Here is a 20,001-nt window from a genome sequence, read left to right on the forward strand (position 1 = left end):
AGGGAAGCCAGAGGGGCCTGGGGGAGCAGGCTGAGCTTGGGGGCTTGGGAGGGGACTCCCCTGGCTTTTCTGGAACTGGGTCTGGGCTGTGAACGTTCCACTCCTGCAGGGCTCAGGCGTATATGTGAGTGTGAGTGTGCATGTGTGCCCACGTGCCCCGTACAGAGCAGTGTGGTTAAGGGGAGGTGCCCCTTCCTGCATGCGTCAGTGGGACGTCCTGAGGCCCACCCACTAGGGTGGTGGGGCCCTCCTGGAGCTTGTCCTCCCAGTGGGGCCCTGGAGTCCAGCCCCTCACTCCCTCGCCACTCCTGCCACTACCTGCGCCTTTCTTGGCTAGCCTGCTCCTTTTACCCTCCCTATTCCCTCCCAGCTACAGCCAGAGGCGGCTCTCTCAGGGACAAACGGCCATGCCACTGCTCACTCAGAACTGTCCGGGGCATGTGCGTCTCTCAGAACCCATCCTGGGCTGTGCCTGCCTTGGCAGACCTAAGATCTCACACCAGCGAGGCCTCCTGCACCACACACTCTCACACTCACAACTCACACTCACACCAGGGTGGAAAGTCTCATGGGGGTGCCAGGGGCCCCCCGAGGCTCAGGGCAGGGGGTATTCTTCCCTGTCCATGCCCTGGCCCTTTCCCAAGTGCTGAGACCCTGAGGATGGACAGACAGGCGCCGGATGGAAGCGTGGGGCTGCTTGGGGGAGCATGGAGTTTATTCAGGGGTGGGGACAGGCGGGCGGCTCAGTAGCAGGTGCCATCCGCCTCCGCCATGACAACAGACACATTGATGTGGGTGGGTTTACCCGCCATGCGGTCGATGGTCTTCTGTGTGAAGGCCAGCGGCAGGGCCTCGTGGCCCACCATGCAGGAGAAGGTCTCCCCCTTCTTCCAGTCCTCAGCTGCCACGCGCAGTATGCTGGTTACAGCGTAGGTGGTGGTGCCCTGGCTGGGCTCCTGCCGGGATGCCCAAGTCAGGTACTTCTCGCGGGGCAGCTCCTGTGACCCCTGCAGCCAGCGAACCAGCACATCCTTGGGGCTGAAGCCACGTGCCAGGCACGTCAGCGTCACCAGCTCGTTCAGGGCCAGCTCCTCCGACGGCGGCGGCAGCAGGTGGACCTCGGGCCGGAATGTGTTTCCTGGAGGGTAGAGAGCCAGGTCAGGGGGCTGGGCAGGGGATGAGAGAGCCCCTCTGCTCTGGTGGGCACCCTGGGCTGTGTCCTGGCCCCTCAGCCTGCCTCAGTTTCCCTCTGTACTTGGCATGAGCACTGGAGCCCAGGATTGGGAGGGAGGAGGCAGGCCGGGAATATGCTTTGCAAACCAGAGCACTGAGCAGGGCCCCGAGCAGGGTCTGGACCCACCGGATTTTGTGATGTTGGCGGTTAGTGGGGTCTTCAACTCGGGGTGGGCAGCAGTGCAGGTGAAGGTCTCCCCATGGTTCCATGGCTGGGCACAGCCAGGCAGGACACTGGACACGCTGTAGCAGCCACAGAGGTCACGCTCAGGTGGTCCTTGAACAGCGCTCTTCCCACTTGAGGGCGTCCAGGTGAAGGTGGCACCAGAGGCATCTCTCAGGCCGGTCAGTGTGCACGTGAGGTTCGCTTCTGAACCTAAGAGCAGGTCCTCGAGGGCCGGTCGGTGCAGCGACAGTCGGGGGTGGCAGCATGGGGGAGGTGGGGGAACTGGAGTGGAGAGATGGCCTGAGCTGGTCAGAACGCCCTTCCCCGTGCCCCCGCCTCGCCCCTCCTGGCCTGTCCACCACCACCTCCTGGGGCTCGGCCCGCGGTCCACTCTGGTGTGAGTGAAGGGGCGGCTCCCTGTGGGGAACACGGGTGCAGGCGCAGTGTCAGGGCAGGACGGGGTGGCCCCGCCCCACTCCCCAGCCTGCCCTCTGACCTCGGCAGGGCACAGTCACATCCTGGCTGGAATTCGTGTAGTGCTTCACGTGGCATGTCACGGACTTGCCGTCTGGGCACTGTGTGGCCGGCAGGGTCAGCTGGCTGCTCGTGGTGTACAGGTCCCCGGAGGCATCCTGGCTAGGTGGGAAGTTTCTGGCGGTCACGTTCTGTCCGCTTTCGCTCCAGGTCACACTGAGTGGCTCCTGGGGGAAGAAGCCCTGGACCAGGCATGCGACGACCACGTTCCCATCTTGGGGGGTGCTGTCGAGGCTCAGCGGGAAGACCTTGGGGCTGGTCGGGGATGCTGGAACACAGAATGCGCTGTGAGGACGCGGCCCTCATGCCATGTCCCCAGGAGGACAGGCTGTACCTGCCTCTCCTCTACACTGGAGGAACCCAGCACAGAGAGGCCTGGTGACAGCCCCAAGGTTACACAGCTCCTGCACCATGGGCCTGCGGTTGGACCCAGCTGTCTCATCCCAGCGACACAGTTTCTGAACATGCTCCTTAGATAGGGCCTCTGACCCAGGCCATCCCAGACACAAGTTATATTAAACAGGGCTCTGCCATGGAGTGGCTGAGTCCCCTGAGCTCCCTGACCCCAGTTCCTGCTCTGGGTGGGGGACATGTCTTGCTCTTTCCCCTGCCCCTAGAGAGGATTTTGGTGGGGGCTCTGAGGAGGGGGCCTGGGCTCTGAGTGCTGTGTGCATGGGGTAGGGGTGGAGTGGCTTGGCTGTGACCCCATCCCCCTGTCCCTGGTCAGAGTCTCAGTCCAACACCCACCACTCCATGAGCCCCACCCCAGGCCCAAACAAGCCACAGTGGACCCCTGTGGCCTATGAGGTCTCGGGACTAGAGGCCAACAGGCTAAGCCATGTCCCTGCCAGGCCCTCCAGGACAGGGCCTGTTACCCAGGGGAGCTCTGGGCCCAGCCCACTCCAAATTTCCTTCAGGCAGTGGGCAAGAGAGAAGACAGAATCATGGTGCAACAGAGCTGCGTGGCCCTCAGAACCCCTAAGAACACAGCTGGGCTCAGGGCTCTGCAGGTGGAGTCACACTCAACCCACGGCCTCCTTCCCACATTAGCAGCCACCTCAGCTCATCCAGCCCAGCCCAGCCCAGGCCAGTCCAGCTCAGTCCAGCTCAGTCCAGCCCAGCCCAGCTCAGCCCAGCTCAGCCCAGCCCACCCCAGGGCAGCTCAGTACAGCTCATCCCAGCCCAGCCCAGCCCAGCTCAGCTCAGCTCAGCCCAGCCCAGCCCAGCTCAGTCCACCTAAGCTCACCCAGCTCAGCCCAGTCTAGCTCAGCTCAGTCCAGCTCAGCCCAGTCTAGCCCAGCCCAGTACAGGTCAGCCCAGCTCAGCTTAGCCCAGGTCAGTCCAGCTCAGTACAGCTCAGCTCAGCCCAGCCCAGTCCAACCCAGCCCAGCCCAGTCCAACCCAGCCCAGCTCAGCTCAGCCCAGCCCAGCTCAGCTCAGCTCAGCCCAGCCCAGTCCAACCCAGCCCAGCCCAGCTCAGCCCAGGTCAACGCAACCCAGCTCAGCTCAGCATAGCTCAGTCCAGCTCAGCCCAGCCCAGCTCAGCCCAGCTCAGCTCAGCCCAGCCCAGCTCAGCCCAGCTCAGCTCAGCCCAGACCAGCTCAGTCCACCTAAGCTCACCCAGTTCAGCCCAGTCCAGCTCAGATCAGGTCAGCCCAGCCCAGCCCAGCCTAGCCCAGCTCAGCTCAGCCCAGCCCGGCCCAGTCCAGCTCAGCTCAGCTCAGCTCAGCTCAGCCTAGCCCAGTCCAGTTTAGCCCAGCTCAGCCCAGCCCAGCTCAGCCCAGCCCAGCCTAGCCCAGCCTAGCTCACCCCAGCCTAGTCCAGCTCAGCCCAGCTCAGCTCAGCCCAGCTCAGCACAGCCCAGCTCAGCCCAGCTCAGCCCAGCTCAGCCCAGTCTAGCTCAGCCCAGCTCAGCCCGGCCCAGCCGAGCTCAGCCCAGCCCAGCCCAGTCCAGCTCAGCCCAGTCTAGCTCAGCCCAGCTCAGCCCGGCCCAGCCGAGCTCAGCCCAGCCCAGCCCAGTCCAGCCCAGCCCAATCTAGCCCAGCCCAGCTCAGCCCAGCCCAGCCCAGCCCAGCCCAGTCCAGCCCAGCACAGTCCAGCCCAGCACAGTCCAGCCCAGCCCAGTCTAGCCCAGTCTAGCCCAGTCCAGCTCAGCCCAGCCCAGGCCAGCCCAGCCCAGGCCAGCCCAGGCCAGCCCAGCCCAGCCCAGCCCAGCTCAGTCCAGCTCAGCTCAGCCCAGCTCAGCCTAGCCCAGTCCAGCCCAGCCCAATCTAGCCCAGCCCAGCCCAGCCTAGCCCAGCCCAGCCCAGCCCAGCCCAGCCCAGCCCAGCCCAGCCTAGCCCAGCCCAGCCCGGCTCAGTCCAGCTCAGCTCAGCCCAGCTCAGCCCAGCCCAGCCCAGCCCAGCTCAGCCCAGCCCAGCCTAGCCCAGCCCAGCCCAGCCCAGCCCAGCCCAGCCCAGCCCAGCTCAGTCCAGCTCAGCTCAGCCCAGCTCAGCCTAGCCCAGTCCAGCCCAGCCCAATCTAGCCCAGCCCAGCCCAGCCCAGCCCAGCCTAGCCCAGCCCAGCCCAGCTCAGTCCAGCTCAGCTCAGCCCAGCTCAGCCCAGCCCAGCCCAGCCTAGCCCAGCCCAGCCCAGCCCAGCCCAGCCCAGCCTAGCCCAGCCCAGCCCAGCCCAGCCCAGCCCAGCTCAGCCCAGCCCAGCCCAGCTCAGTCCAGCTCAGCTCAGCCCAGCTCAGCCTAGCCCAGTCCAGCCCAGCCCAATCTAGCCCAGCCCAGCCCAGCCCAGCCCAGCCCAGCCCAGCCCAGCTCAGTCCAGCTCAGCTCAGCCCAGCTCAGCCTAGCCCAGTCCAGCCCAGCCCAATCTAGCCCAGCCCAGTCCAGCCCAGCCCAGCCTAGCCCAGCCCAGCCCAGCCCAGCCCAGCCCAGCCCAGCCTAGCCCAGCCCAGCCCAGCTCAGTCCAGCTCAGCTCAGCCCAGCTCAGCCCAGCCCAGCCCAGCCCAGTCCACCTCAGCCCCAGCTCCAGCTCAGCTCAGCCCAGCCCAGCTCAGCCCAGCCTAGCCCAGCCCAGCTCAGCCCAGCTCAGCTCAGTTCAGCTCAGCCCAGTCCAGTGTAGCCTAGCTCAGCCCAGTGTAGCCTAGCTCAGCCCAGCCCAGGCCAGGGCAGCTCAGGGCAGCCCACATGGACGTGTATCAGTTGGCTCCAGGTCATCTTCTCCTCTGCCCTCTGGCTCGGCTCAGCCTAGGCCTCGGCTCAACTTAGGCCTCAGCTCAGCCATGAAAGCTGTTCACCTTGTATCCCAGGAAGGGCCGGGTCATCCCAGCTTAGGCCTGGCCAGCCTGGCTCAGCCCCCAGTGCCCAGATCCTTCCTGCCTGGTTAGGAAGCCCTGCCCTGTGGTTCCGGAGTCCCTGTGGTGACCTCTTTTGTCCTTCCCTCTTGTCTTGGTGCCTGTTCTCCACCTTTTGCTTCCAGAAGGGGCCAGGACCAGCCTGGCTGGACTCCTCAATGTGCAGAGAAGGAGACGGAGGCCTGGAGACCTCCAAGACCCACCTGGTCAGGCTGCTGGAGGGCCCGCAGTGCTGAGTGGGCGGCCTCCGGCGTGCAGGCCCTCATGGCAGGTCCACCCTCACGGGCGTCTGGCTGCCTGCCAAGAGGGCTGCTGTGGGGAGGGAGCCCTGGCCCGGCCCAGGTCCTGCCTTGATGGCCGTCTGTCCTTAGCAGAGCCCTGCTCCGCCGCGCTGGCTGTGTCCACAGATGTGGCTGGATGCTGAGGGGCTGGAGGGGAGGGCCTGCATGCCCGTACGTCTGGCCTACAGACGGGGTCACTCGCCCACTTCCTGCCCCAGCAGACACGGCTGCGCGGCTCCACGTCATGTCTGGCCTGTGGTCTGGCTGTGGTGGGGCCAGGTGTGTGTGGCCAGGGCTCTGTGACCCCACCGGCCGTGGAGCCTCACGGCTCCACATGGCTCCACAGGGCGGGGTGGGGGCCACGCTGCAGGGAAACAGGAACAGACACAGTTAGAGGCTCAGAGACCCCGAGACAGAGATGGCAAAGGGGAGACACAGGGCCAGAGAGGGTCCCCGACCACCCGCAGGGGAAGGGCGCCTGTGAGTGGACTCCCGTTGAAGGGGCCTTGGGGCCACAGGGCGGGCATCAGGCTGGGGAGAGTGAGTCTTGCGCTGCTGGGTTGGAGCCACTCGGGCCTGGCCTCCCTCGGCCTGCCCCATGGGCCACTGGGGGCCCCAGACTGCAGCCCAGGGTGGGGGCATGGGGGCACCCCGTCTCCTAGCCTGCAGCCCTGCGGGTCAGGGCGGCCAAGGTGCCTGCTCTACCCTGTCCAGCACTGCCCAGGTGGCACTCCTACTGTGGGTCACCAGAGAGCTGGCCGTTGCGTTGGAGAGATCCCGCCAGCGATGCTGGCCCTGGAGTCGGGGGAGGCCAGCTATGTCTGGGGGCTCGGGTGGCACCGGCAATGGGAGGCCAGGGGCGCTTCACAGAGGAGCTGCTGCAGCGGAGTCCTGGAAAGCGTGGGCGTGAATGGAAGATGCCCTGGCCATGGGGCCGGGCCACCCCGGCGGAGGCTGTCGGGTGAAATCCAGGGAGTGACAGTGAGGCCGGATCAGGGCAGGTGGGGCCAGAGGAGGAGGGAGGTAGCCTGGGGCTGCCCCAGGGTCCTGGGAAGACACACCTGGCGGTTCAGGGAAGCTCTGGAGCTTTTGTTATGAACCTTGGGATGCCCCCGGCCCTCGCCAGGGGGACGTGGCTGCTGCGTCTTAGTCATTTCTGGCTGCAATAACAAAAATACCATAGACTGGTGGGTTCAGCAGCAACATTCATTTCTCAGGGAAGCTGGAAGTTCAAGGTCAGGATGGCAGCAGGGTCAAGTTCCAGGAAGGGCCGATTCCTGGTTCACAGACCCCCATCTTTTCGCTGCGTCCTCACATGGTGGAAAGAGGGCAGGGCTGCTCTCTGGGGTCCCTTTTCTTTTGGGTCTCTAGTGAGATCAGGGACCGAGTCACATTTTTGAGTGTTCCCCCTCAGGCCCTAACCACCTCCCTGAGGCCCCAGCTCTGCATGCTCTCACTCTGGGATGACGGCTGTCACACAGGAGTTTCGGGCAGACACAGACCCTCAGACCATAGCACCACCCCTGTCTGCCTCTGCCTCTCCCCATCCCTGTGTCTCCTCGTCTGTCTCCAGCTAGGACACTTGTCCTCGGACCTAGCCCCCTCGATAATCCAGGGTGTCCTTCACCTCGAAATCCTTGACAATCCAGGGCGCCCTCACCTCGAAATCCTTGACAATCCAGGGCGCCCTCACCTCGAAATCCTTGACAATCCAGGGCGCCCTCACCTCGAAATCCTTGACAATCCAGGGTGCCCTCACCTCGAAATCCTTGACAATCCAGGGTGCCCTCACCTCGAAATCCTTGACAATCCAGGGTTCCCTCACCTCGAAATCCTTGACAATCCAGGGCGCCCTCACCTCGAAATCCTTGACAATCCAGGGTGCCCTCACCTCGAAATCCTTGACAATCCAGGGTTCCTTCACCTCGAAATCCTTGACAATCCAGGGTTCCTTCACCTCGAAATCCTTGACAATCCAGGGTTCCTTCACCTCGAAATCCTTGACAATCCAGGGCGCCCTCACCTCGAAATCCTTGACAATCCAGGGCGCCCTCACCTCGAAATCCTTGACAATCCAGGGCGCCCTCACCTCGAAATCCTTGACAATCCAGGGTTCCCTCACCTCGAAATCCTTGACAATCCAGGGCGCCCTCACCTCGAAATCCTTGACAATCCAGGATTCCTTCACCTCGAAATCCTTGACAATCCAGGGTGCCCTGACCTCGAAATCCTTGACAATCCAGGGTTCCTTCACCTCGAAATCCTTGACAATCCAGGGCGCCCTCACCTCGAAATCCTTGACAATCCAGGGCGCCCTCACCTCGAAATCCTTGACAATCCAGGGTTCCCTCACCTCGAAATCCTTGACAATCCAGGGCGCCCTCACCTCGAAATCCTTGACAATCCAGGGTTCCTTCACCTCAAAATCCTTGACAATCCAGGGCTCCCTCACCTCGAAATCCTTGACAATCCAGGGCTCCCTCACCTCGAAATCCTTGACAATCCAGGGCGCCCTCACCTCGAAATCCTTGACAATCCAGGGTGCCCTCACCTCGAAATCCTTGACAATCCAGGGTTCCTTCACCTCGAAATCCTTGACAATCCAGGGTGCCCTCACCTAGAAATCCTTGACAATCCAGGGTTCCTTCACCTCGAAATCCTTGACAATCCAGGGCGCCCTCACCTCGAAATCCTTGACAATCCAGGGTTCCTTCACCTCGAAATCCTTGACAATCCAGGGTGCCCTCACCTCGAAATCCTTGACAATCCAGGGTTCCTTCACCTCGAAATCCTTGACAATCCAGGGTGCCCTCACCTCGAAATCCTTGACAATCCAGGGTTCCTTCACCTCGAAATCCTTGACAATCCAGGGCTCCCTCACCTCGAAATCCTTGACAATCCAGGGCGCCCTCGCCTCGAAATCCTTGACAATCCAGGGCGCCCTCACCTCGAAATCCTTGACAATCCAGGGTGCCCTCACCTCGAAATCCTTGACAATCCAGGGTGCCCTCACCTCGAAATCCTTATCTTGATGGGATCTGCAAAGGCCCTTTTGACAAATAATGCCGCACTCAATGGCCCCAGGGGCTAGGATGTGGCTCTATCTTTTGGGGGCCATGGTTGTACCCACGGGTGGGTTAATAGGGGAATGAAGAGGGGGATGGAGAGGCCCTGAGACGGCATCCTCTTGCTCCCGGGAGGCCAGGCCATGTGGAAGGCAGGGGCGCTGTTCCGAGCCTGGGTGTGAATCCGGGCCTCTGCCCCTCCCCACGGGCCCCGTCTGTCTCCTCTACGTGGGTGCTCATCTGGTCTTCCTCTCAGGCCTTTGAGGCGATGGAATTTTCTGTGCGTGAGGACGCCTGCCACACAGTGGGGCAGTGAGCTGACTCCTTGCCCTTGCTCTGGGGCCATGGAGGTCTCATGATCTAGGGTGCGGGGCAGAGAAAGTCACTGAGCTCTGTCCCCCGGGGGGGCTCCCGGTCCGGGGCACCTTGGCTGCGGAGGGCCGGTCTGTTGTAGGAGATGTGGGTTTGCGACACCCTGGGCTGGTGATGGGGTGGATGGAGGGCCTGGCTTCCTGAGACTGTGTGTGTGTTGGTATGAGCGTGCCCGAGCGTGTCAGCCTGTGTGAGTGCATGATTGGTGTGTGTGAGTGCAAATGTGTATGAGAGGTTGAGTCTGTGTGTGTGAACCTGTGTGTTTTTGCATGTGCGAGTGTGTGCCTGCGTGTGTGTCTGTGAATGAGGGAGTGTGTGAGGGGAGCTGGGCAGCGGCTGTGGCCTTGGCCCTGTCCTGCGACGCCCCCTCCTCTGGTGTTGTTTGGACCCAGTCGGCCTCAGCGCTGCCCGCTTTGGGGTTTTCTACCCCGTAGGGAGCCGTCGCTCCTCACCTTCTCCCCCGTGCCCGGCTGCTCCGAGGTCGCAGCAGAGGACAGGGCGGAGGGCCCAGGTGCCGCTGTCAGACTGAGGCAGGCTTGCTTCATTCCGCTTTGTGCCAGACTCCATGTGACGTGGCTCTCCTGGCACAGAGCGAGGCTCTCCCTGTGGGGCCATCACTGTGAGAGGACTCTCCTGCATTGGGGCATTTTGCCAACTGGCCCTAAAAAGTGGTCTTAATGATTTACGTGCCCTCAGTCAGGGCCAAGAAGCACCTCCACCCCCTTCATCCCCTCCTCCTTCCTTTCACTTTTCTCATTGTTAAAATGGTTTCTTTATATTATCGGCCACTGGGTTTTTCCTTTCCATGAAGAACCTATTGCTCACCTTTCTTCTTAGTGATCTCTGAGTGCTCTTTGTATATGAGGGAACCCTGCCCTTTGTCATGCCTATCATGCGTTCTCTCCCATTTTTAGGATGTTGTGGAGACCCTTGTAAGCAGGCCTCTCCAGCCAGGGAGGCTGCACATTTGCCCTGAGGACTGGTGTGGGTCAAGCCCACCTGTGGCCCCGATGGCTCTGGGGCCCCAGCCTGCTCCTGGGTCACCTCTCAGCTCTTCAGGAGGTCCAGGCTGGTGGGCGGCTGTGGGCTGGGGAGTCAGCTTTGTCTGTGCTCAGTGGGTGCTGGATCAGGGTGTGTGGCCAGTGGTCCTAGGGGCCCCCATCAGCCTCCACCTTGGTGACTGTGCAGCTGCATTCTTGGGGCCTCCTGTGCTGACCACAGCATGGGCCTCTTCTGGTTTTGCCCACAAAGGGGTCGATGTTGATTGTTGCTTTGACTTTACCTGAGAAGGAGGCATGAGTCTGGGCTGGAGACCAGCAGACCAGGTATGACAGGGCCGAGCTGGGGAGTCTCTGGGGTGCTGAGGGGTGATTGATGGGAACCACTGCTTGGGCACTTTGGCTCTCAGGACCCCAGAATGGCCCCTGCCCTTCCTTCCCCTCTGGCTCCTCCTGCACGTCCTCAGGGGTCCTGCCTCCCGCCAGCCACTCCAGGGCCACACACACCTCCCACAGAGCCCTCCGGAGACGTGGGGTTTGTGAAAAGGATCTTTACTAAGAAACCCAGAGAGAAAGAAGTATGACTGCTGAAGCCAGAGGCTGGACGAGGTCATAGGGACGAGGTCGGCAGCTGCTGTCCCTGCAGGAAACCCCTTCTCTGGCTGTGGGAGCCCCTCTACCCACTCCAGGGGCCCGAAGCCCTCAACTGTCCTGTGGCCTGGCCTCAGAGGGCTTCCCTGTGCCTTCAGGCTGCAGAAATGGGGGCTGCAGGTGGATGGCAGGAGGGGTGGGTGAAGGGATGGGGGCTCAGGTGGATGGCAGGAGGGGTGGGTGAAGGGATGGGGGCTGAGGATAGATGGCAGGAGGGGTGGGTGAAGGGATGGGGGCTGTGGATGGATGGCAGGAGGGGTGGGTGAAGGGATGGGGGCTGAGGATAGATGGCAGGAGGGGTGGGTGAAGGGATGGGGGCTGTGGATGGGTGGCAGGAGGGGTGGGTGAAGGGAAAGAAGGTCTGGGTGAGGCTTGGGGGACGGGGATGCCAGACACTTGGACCTCAGGGCTAGAAGGGTCAGACCGAGGCTGGGGAGTGAGGCCGTGGGCTGGTGTTGGGCTGGACGCAGACTCAGCTGTGTCCTGGGCTGGGTGCCGGGCCCTCCTTGGCTTTTGGTGATTGTACAGTCAGAATGGGAGTGACCCGGAGACCCAGGGGCCTGGGATGAGCTCAGAACGGCTAGCAGCCACCCCTCCTCGATGACTCTGTTGAAGGGACAGACACGGTTTTCGGGTGGGGGCTGCGACTGGTGGTTCTCTCGGCGCCTGTAACCTTGCGGCTGAGCCGGCCCCTCTGGGCTCAGGTTCACTGGCCATCAGCCCACAGTAGTGACCTTGTGCCCCCTTTTCTTGTCTGCTTCCCTTTTCCCACCCAGGGCAGGGCGCAGCCCGAGGGAGGCTCAGGCGCTGGCAGAGAAAAAGCTGGGCCTGGTGGAGCGTGAGTGGCCCGCGGCCTAGGCGTGGGGCTGGAGGACGTTGGTGTAGTCGAGGGAGGTCTGGGGCCTCCCCTGCCGCGTGGCTGAGAGGAACCGCTGCACCTGAGGGGAGGGCGTGGGTCAGGGCGCTCTGCTGGCTCTGCCCAACCCCCTGCCCTGGCCGGGCCCCTGGAGGTGGGTGCCCACCATGAGGAGCGTGATGGCGGCGCTGTAGCTCACGCTGAGCAGGAAGAGTGCGGCGAAGATGCAGAGGCCGGTCCACGTCCACGGCGCCTCGCCCTCGGCCTCCTCCACGCACACGTCCAGCTCTGGGGGACCTGGCCAGTCAGCCCTCCCGGCTCCACAGTGGCAGCGGGGGTGGGGGACAGAGCCTCCTGCTGCTCTCGGCAGTCCCTGCTGCTGTCCGGAGTGGCAGAGCACCCTATCCGGGGCCCTCTGGGACTGCGCGGAGCCGCCAGCCAGCCCTGAGGGTGGGCACCCAGGTCCCGAGTCAGTCAACGGCCCAGAGCCAGGCCGACCACTCCTGACCTCTCGTCCCTGCGCCCCGACTCTGGCCCCATTTTCCCTCTGTTCCTTACGGCTTCTCTCCTGACCTCTGGTTACCTCCACTCCGCCTCTCTAGACCCCACGCCCTCCCCAGAGAAGGACCCAACCCCTCGGCACAGCAGTGGCCGCCTCACTCAGGGCCCTCGGAAGGATGCGTGAGCTCTGCGGCCTGGCTCCCAAGACCTGGGACTCACTGCATGGGTGCTCTGAGGGGCTGTCCTGGTGTGGACTATGAGCCCAGGCCTGTGGGTGTCCAGAGCTGCCTCCTGGCCCTACCCCGGCCCGGCCCCGCCCACCAGCCTGGTCCCTCTGGCTCCTGCCCTGGGTGCCCTCCACTCCCTTCCCCAACACCGTGAGCTGCCTGCTGGTCCCGGGTCATCAGCAGGTGCAGGTCCCGCCTCGGGCCCTCACACCTCTTTCTGCTGCTCCAGGCCCAGAGCTGGGTGCAGGTGGGCTGGGACGTGAGAGTGAAGCTGAATGTATGGCTGTGACGGTGTGCAGGGACTGTCTTCAGACATGGAGGGGCTTTGTGCTCATGGGGTGCCCGGTGCCCGTGTTTCCGTGTGGATTTGGTGGGTGCTGTGCCCTTGGTGTGCATGACCGGGGGGAGCGTTTGGATCTGGGGTGTCAGATGCACATGTGGGTTTGAGGTCTGTGAGGGGCACGTAGCCTGCTCTGGGGTTCCGGTGTGGGTGAGTGGGGGATGGAGCCCACGCATCCATCCTGTGTTTGGCTGTGGGGTGCTGCTGCTGACAGGGTGACAGGGAGGGTTGGACTGGAGGACACCACGTGAGGGCCTCTCCATTTCTCTCTGGGATCCAGCGGCCCAGGTATGGCTCAGAGGAAGGGCTTGGCAGTAGCCTCGCTGGAGGCAGCGTGAGAGGCGGAGTGTGGGCCACGTGTGACCACGTGTGGGGTGTCTATGGCGCCCTGGTGGTGGTACAGGGTGCTGTGGAGTTGCTATGGGGCCTAGTGTGTGCACAGCTGTGCCTTGAGTGAGGCGTGAGTGGGCGAGACTGGGTGTGTGAGGCTGGCGATCCCCTGGGGGCCGATTCAGGATGGACCAAGGGGCGGTGGGGGGCAGTAGGAGAGGGGGCCTGGCTGCTGACCTGGGCCTGGTGTGCCCACAGGGCAGGGTGGCGGAGGCTGCGGGGTGTGAGTGGGCTCGGCTCCACCGGCCCCGGTGCTGGGGCCAGGACTCGGCAAGGCGGGACAGGGCAGAGAGGCGAACGCCAGTGGCACAGACTTGGGCGAGGGCTGTCGGGTCGTGTGTGTCTGTGTGGGGGTTTCACTTAGGGCTGTTTTTCCACCTGGAGGGGCCTGTGTGCCCATCTATACCTGGGGGTGCAGGGGCTCCTGTCCAGGGGGGTAGAAGCCAAGCCCCCAAGAGAGAGGGCTGTGGGGGCTCCCTTGCCCCTTCCCTGAGGACCTCCCCTGGGTCTTTGGACTCCTTGGAGGGGGTAGACCCAGAGTGGGGGCAGAGAGGGCCCGGGGTAGCTGTGATGAGTCCCTGCAGATATGCTGTTTGACAAATAACCCTGACACGAAGGCAGATGGATGAGTGGCACCTCAGCCCTGCCCACCTCCTCCCACCGCCTCTCCTGGGGGGACTCAGCCCTGCCCACCTCCTCCCACTGCCCCTCCTGGGGGGCCCATTCCTCTGTGCCAAGATGCACCTGCCCACAGCCCTGCCCGCTCCCAAGAATGGGTGTACCTGGGGCTCTGAGCAGGCACAGTTTATTGGGGGTAGCTTCCTGGGGTCATTGCAACAGTGGACAGAAGGTCTGGCCAGTCCTCCCCACTGCACAGCTGGATGGAGCCCTGGGAGGGAGGGAGGCAGGAGTACGTCATTTACCGGGATTTACAGACACCGCTCGCTGGACGGTCTGTGAGGGGCTTGCTGCCTCATGGACTGCACGGCAGATGAACTCATCTTTCTGCTCCCATTCGGCCCTGGTCACCTCCAGGCGGCTGAAGACGAAGAAGCCGGAGCCCTTGGTCTTGCGGGGCTGCGTCGTGCTGTGCCGGGCGTCCGGGAGCTGCACCTCGTTGTGCAGCCACTGCACCGAGATGTCCTCAGGCATGAAGTTCTGGATCAGGCAGGCGAGGGTGCGCTTGTCCCGGCTCCCCGGCCACTCCGGCGTCGCAAACGCATAGACTTCCGGGGCAGCACGCGGGCCTGTGGCCAGACGTGGGGTCAGCCCGGGCCCCGCTCACTCGCTCCCTCCCTTCCCCCACGACCCCGGCCTGCCCATGGCTCACCGCTGGTCTTGGTCGTGGACCGCATGAGGGCCCTGGGCAGGTGGGGGTGGGTCACCCTGCACTGGTAGGTCTCCCCCTCGATCCAGTCTCGGGTGCCCACCGGCAGGGTGGACGTGACGGTTAACGTGCCATTGCGCTGCTTCTCCTCCTTTCTGGTGGAGTGGTTCACAGGCTTCCCACTGGCCCGGGACCAGGTCAGGTTCACGGTCCCCTTGCTGGGTGCCAGGTCCACCACCAGACAGGTGATCGTGGGCGACTTGCGGATGAACAGGTCGAACGGGCTGGGCCGGCTTAGGTAGGCGCTCACCCCTCTCGGGTTGGAATCTGTGGTACACCGGAGGGCTGTGTGAGGCCCACCCGCCCCTCTTCTCTGGCCTCCGTGGCGGCCACCAGGGCAGGTGGGAACGTACCTGCACACTTCTTGGTGCTGTCCTCAAAGGTGTGACCTTGATAGGTGACCTGGCAGGTGTAGGTGCGGTCTGACAGCCAGTGCTTCTGGCTGAGGGTGAGCTCGCTTTGTGTGGAGGCCAGCTCACCCTCCTGCGTGGTAGAGGCGGTGGACAAGTCCACGTCCATGACCTGCCCGTCCTCCAGCCAGGTGATGTTGATAGTCCCTGGGGTGTACCCAGAGACGAGGCACAGGAGCTGGATGGTCGGGGGGAAGTGCCCGCCGCCGTCGCAGGACGACTGTAAGATCTTCACGGTGGGCGGGGTGAAGTCCCTGGAGCAGACTGGGGGAGAGCTGGTGGTCATGAGGGTTGTTGGCCTCTCTGAGCTCTGTGTGCCCTCCTCTTGCCCCCGCGTCCTGGCCCGGGTCCCCAGGCATGCTGGGTGTTCCCACGTTTGAGCCCACCCACCCCCTCAACCCCTGCCCACTCTGCCAGCCCTCAGCCTGGCACTCCTGGGAACTGTGGTCTCTGAGCTTGGCCCTCTCTTACCGCTGAAGGTTTTGTTGTCGACCCAGTCTGTGGACGATGGAGTGTGTGCCACACGGCAGGTGAACATCTGCTTGGCCCACGCACCCGAGACGGTCAGCAAGCTGATGGTGGCATAGTGACCAGAGAGCGTGAGGGTGGTGGCTGGTAAGGTCATAGTTGTCCCGTTGAGGGAGCCTGTGTCCCAGGTCACCATCACCGGCTCCGGGAAGTAGCCCGTGGCCAGGCAGCCCAGAGTCACGGAGGTGGCATTGGAGGGAATGTTTTTGCAGCAGCGGGTCAAGGGGAAGACGGATGGGCTCTGTGTGGAGGCTGTGAGGACAGAACCTAGTCAGTGCCAGCCTCAGGCCAGCGCCCATCAGGCCTGGGGGGCCTGGATGGGGGAGCTGGGGACCCCGTGGCAGGGATCCAGATGGCCAGGCTCATTCTGGGCCTTTTTCCCCACAATCCCCAGGCCCAGGGCGGCTCCCAGGGCCCCCATTCCCCCACCAGAAGCTGTTGCTCAGCCACTATCATCAGGCTGGGCTCAGGAAGGGGGGTGCCTCCAGGATGACCCCAGCCTCCCCCTGCAAGTGCTGCACGGTGGGCACTCAGGAGCAGAGACACTGGGCCATGCCCCTAGGCTGAAACCCAGGGACCCCATGGGGCCTGGGACCCCAGAGCCCTCCCCCTTCAAACTCTCTCTGGGCTCATGGTGGATGGTCTGCCTGCCCTCCAACCCTGACCCCAACCCCCCAAGGCTGTGGTCTCAGCTCCTCGGGCTCTTGAGTGCCAAGCCTGGATCTCCCCATCACAGCAGCCCTCACCTGACCTGCCAGACCCCCATGGTGCTCTGCCCACCCCTGACCTCTAGGGGAGGGCGGGAAGACTTGCCCTGATGCCCCAGGCAGTCAGTCCCTCCCACCACAGAACCCTGGCCCAGATAGTGCGGTCTGTACAGCGTGGCCCTTCGCCCCTGGCCTGGAGTCCCAAGTCCCCAGCCCATCCTGCCCCTGGAGCCCAGTTTAGCTTGGTCTTGAAGTCTGCTCTAGGTACCCCCAAAATCACAGTATCCAGCCCCGCTCTGCCCACCGGGACAGCCAAGTTCAGCTGAGACTGGCCTACCGGGGGAGTCGCCCTCTGAAGTTCACTCTAAGCCAGCCTGGTTCAGCCTGGCCCAGGTCAGCCCAGGACCTCCCCTTGCAGGCAGCAAACTCTTATTTCAGTCCAGCCAGCTCAACCAGCTTGCTTCTGACTCAGCTCCTCTTAGCCAGGTGAGAATGGTCAGTCCAGATCAATTTAGCCCGGTCCAGTTTAGCTCAGCAAAGCTGGACCTAAAGTAGCCACCTCACCCCAGCTTCATCCAGATGAATACAGTCCAGATCAGCTTAGTCAGTTAAGCCTAGCCTAGCTAGTTAAATCCAGTTACGACCAGCTCAACTAATCCTGCTCAGGCCTGCTCAGCCCAGCCCAGCTGAACCCAGTTTAGCCGAGGCCAGGCCAGCCCAGCTGAATACAGTTGCCCAGTCTAGCTCAGCCCAGTCCAGCACTGCCCAGTTTAGCTGAGCTCAGCCTGGCCCAGCCCAGCTCATATCAGCCCATCTCAGCTGAACCAGTTTGACCCAGTCTAACCCAACCCCGCTCAGCTGAACCCAGCCCAGCCCAGCCCAGCCCAGCCAAACCCAGTTTAGCCTAGCTCAGCTCAGCCCATTTCCACCCAACCCAGCTCAGCCCAGCTTACCCAGTCCAGCCCAGCAGCCCAGTTCAGCCCACTCAGGCTAGCCCAGTTTAGCCCAGCCCAGCTAGGTTCAGCTCTGCTCAGTTCAGCCCAGCGTAGATCAGCTTATCCCAGCAGAACTCAGTTTAAATCACCCCAACCCAATTCGGTTCAATAATCCAAGCCCAGCTCAGTCCAGCTTCTTATAACCCTGTCCATCTCAGGTCACTCACCCAGCCTAGTCCTCCCCAGCTCAACCCAGTTTAGCCCAAACCAGCTTAGTCAGCCCAACTAGCTAAGCTTGGCTCAGGTCTGTCCAGCTCAGCCCAGGTCTTCCAATCACAGCTCAGGCCCGGCCAGGCCAGCTCAGCCCAGCTCCATCCACCTCAGTCCAGTTGGCCCAGCCCAGCCAAACCCAGTTTAGGCCAGGCCAGGCCAGCCCAGCCCATGTGAACTCAGTTGAGCTCAGCCCAGGTCAGCCCAGTTCAGTTAACCTCAACCTGACCCAGCCCAGCCCATATTAGCATATCTCAGCTGAACCCAGTTTAGCCCAACCCAGCCCAACCTAGGCCAGCTGAACCCAGGTTAGGTTAGGTTAGCTTAGCCTAGAGCAGCCCAGCCCAACCCAGCCCAACCCAGCCCAGCCTGCCCCAGTCTAACCTAGCTCAGCCCAGCCCAGCCCAGCTGAACCCAGTTGAGACCAACCCAGCTGAGTCCACTCAGGCGAGCCTAGTTTAGCCCAGTTCACGTGGGCACAGTTCAGCCCAGCCCAGCTCATCCCAGCTAAATTCAGATCACCCCAGCCCAATTTAGTTCAATAATTTAAGGCCTGCTCACTCCAGCTTTTAACCCTGTCCGTCGTCAGGTCTCTCCCCCAGCCTAGCCCTCCTCAGCTCAATCCCATTTAGCTCAGCCCAGCTTACTCAGCCCAACCAGCTAAGCTTGGCTCAGGTCTGTCCAGCTCAGCGCAGCCCTGCTGAACTCAGGCCAGGTCAGGTAAGCTCAGCAGGTAATACCCCAGCTTGGTCTCCTTCAGCCCGGATAGTCCACGAGCACCCATTTTATCCTAAGTAGAGAACTGTAGCTTGTCCCTACTCCTGTGTCGGCCCAGCTTATTTCAACCAAGTCCAGTCAAGTCCAGGTCAGCCTAATTCAGCTTAACTCAATCCTGGACCACCCAGGGCAGGCCACCTCAGCTCAGCCTGACTTTGCCCTGCCCCCCAGATAAGTCCAGCTCAGCCCAGCTCAGTCCACCTTAGGGCTTAGGATAACCCAGCTCAAGCCTAGCTCAGCTGAGCCTAGCTCATTTCCCTCTACCCAGTCCACTCACTCAACTCAGCTAAACCCGCCTGGCCCGGGCCAGCCCCGATCGCCCTGGCTCAGGACAGCCCAGCTTGGCCACCTGTCCTCTAAGGGACAGGGTAGCCCTCTCAGCCCACCCAGCTCGCCTCAGCTCAGTCTGTTAGGCCCGTCTCAGTCTAGTCCACTCAGCCAAGCCCCCCTCAGTCCGCCCAGCTCAGACTTGCCAAGATCAGCCAGTTGCGCAGTGGAGCTCAGGACAGCTCCCTGCTGCCGCCTCCCCACCCTCCCTCCCAGCTCTGGGTTGGCTGTCCCTGTCCTAGGGGTGGCAGGCAGTCTGCACCCAGCCTAGCCCTGCCCAGCGTGGGGTCTCTGACCTTCTTGGTCTTGGGCCCAGCCAAGATTCCCAGCCCCCTGCCTTCTCCAGGTCGGCGTTAGGCTGTTTCTAGCTTTCCTGTGTCCCCATGCAGGGAAGGGATGCCTAGAGTCCACGCAGTGACCAAGAAGCTTGGTTGATGCTGTGAGGGTGGCCCAGGAGTCCCCTCGCTGTCAGGGGCCCAGGCAGCCTCTCCCTCACTGCTGCCTGGGCCGGCCCCTCGATTGGGGCTCCCGGTGGGCTGGGATACCTGAAGCGCCGGGTCGTCCATTTGGTGCCTGTGGATGGTGTGGCCCGTCCGGCTCCCTGTCGGGTTCCTGGACAGCTCCCAGATGATCAGTAACCGTGGTTGTTATTTCTGTGCCGGGCAGTGGAGCCTGGGTAGGGGGAGCTCTGCCTCAGTGCTTTCAGCTAAAAATGGGGTGGGAACCCCCGGAGGCCCGGGCCGCCCTGGAAGTTCCCTTTTCTCTCTGTTCTTGGGAAGTCGATTGAGCAACAGCGGGGGTCAGGTGAGGCTCCTTCACTACCGATGCACACCGAGTGCTGGGGGAGGTTCTCTTCTCTCTCAGGCCCAACCCCAGGGCCCCTGCCTAGGTCCCGGACTCTCACTCTTGACGCATGCGTGGCTTGGTGGTCCCAGTCAGCAAACTTGGGGTCCCGTTGCCTGGGAAAGGGAGAGGGTACTGGGCATCGACGCCTCTGCTTCCACGAAAGCCTTGTGAAGAAAGGATGGGGGCGCTTTTGTGCAGGAGAATGAGGCGCACTGAGGTGAACTGGCCCTCGGGGGCCGCGTGTCCCAGATGTGTGTGCAGGGCCTCCTGATGGCCGCAGCCCTCGTCCCTGTGACCCGCTTGGAGCTGGCACCCTGAGTGGTGGCCTCACCTTGTACTCACTCCCAGGTCACTGTCCTGCAGCCGGGGGTCCCAAGCTGGGCTGCTCCTCAAGGCGAGCACATGAAGGCTGGGGCCTGGCTGGGGGCTGGCAGGGAGCTGTGCGGAGGTGGCTGGTGGCTCTGCAAGGTCCTTGAAGCTGCTGGAGGCTGGGGACACTGTGCCCCGTCTATGCCATGGGTGGGCGTGGGCACATGGAGAAGGCTGGGCTCGGGCTCGGTGGCCTTCCTGGAGGCGCCCATGGCATTCGTCCCTGGTTGCACCCAGTGCTCTGCTCTGAGCGAGATAATTTCCTTCACACCATTGGCCTGCCTGTCCCCTGGAGGCCAGCATGCATGGAGTGGCCACTGGGGAGGGGTGGGTTGTATAGAATCTTTGGGGAGGGAGACACTGGGACCTGCCCCTGGGACCCTGGGTGCCCAGGGCTGGTTGTCCTGTGGAGGGAGAGGGGCTGTCGGGCCTGGTGCCCTCAGAGAGATGCTCACCACGTGTGGAAGACACCAGAAGGGCTGCTGGCT

At 62.9% G+C, this 20,001-nt stretch overlaps 2 gene segments (V, D, J or C) and 1 further gene; all 3 read right to left on the minus strand.

The window, feature by feature from the left end:
* Positions 1-243: 243 nt before the first annotated feature.
* The window catches only part of IGH (immunoglobulin heavy locus), a 1,293,408-nt gene continuing 1,273,650 nt past the window's right edge, over positions 244-20,001 (minus strand).
* IGHA2 (immunoglobulin heavy constant alpha 2 (A2m marker)) lies at positions 744-2,201 on the minus strand. The segment is given in 3 exon segments: positions 744-1,138; positions 1,361-1,681; positions 1,899-2,201. Coding segments are annotated over 3 exon segments (1,019 nt in total).
* IGHE (immunoglobulin heavy constant epsilon) lies at positions 13,873-15,534 on the minus strand. The segment is given in 4 exon segments: positions 13,873-14,204; positions 14,288-14,611; positions 14,698-15,018; positions 15,226-15,534. Coding segments are annotated over 4 exon segments (1,286 nt in total).

This window comes from Homo sapiens, chromosome 14 (assembly GCF_000001405.40).
Source record: "Homo sapiens chromosome 14, GRCh38.p14 Primary Assembly".
Classification (NCBI taxonomy): domain Eukaryota; kingdom Metazoa; phylum Chordata; class Mammalia; order Primates; family Hominidae; genus Homo; species Homo sapiens.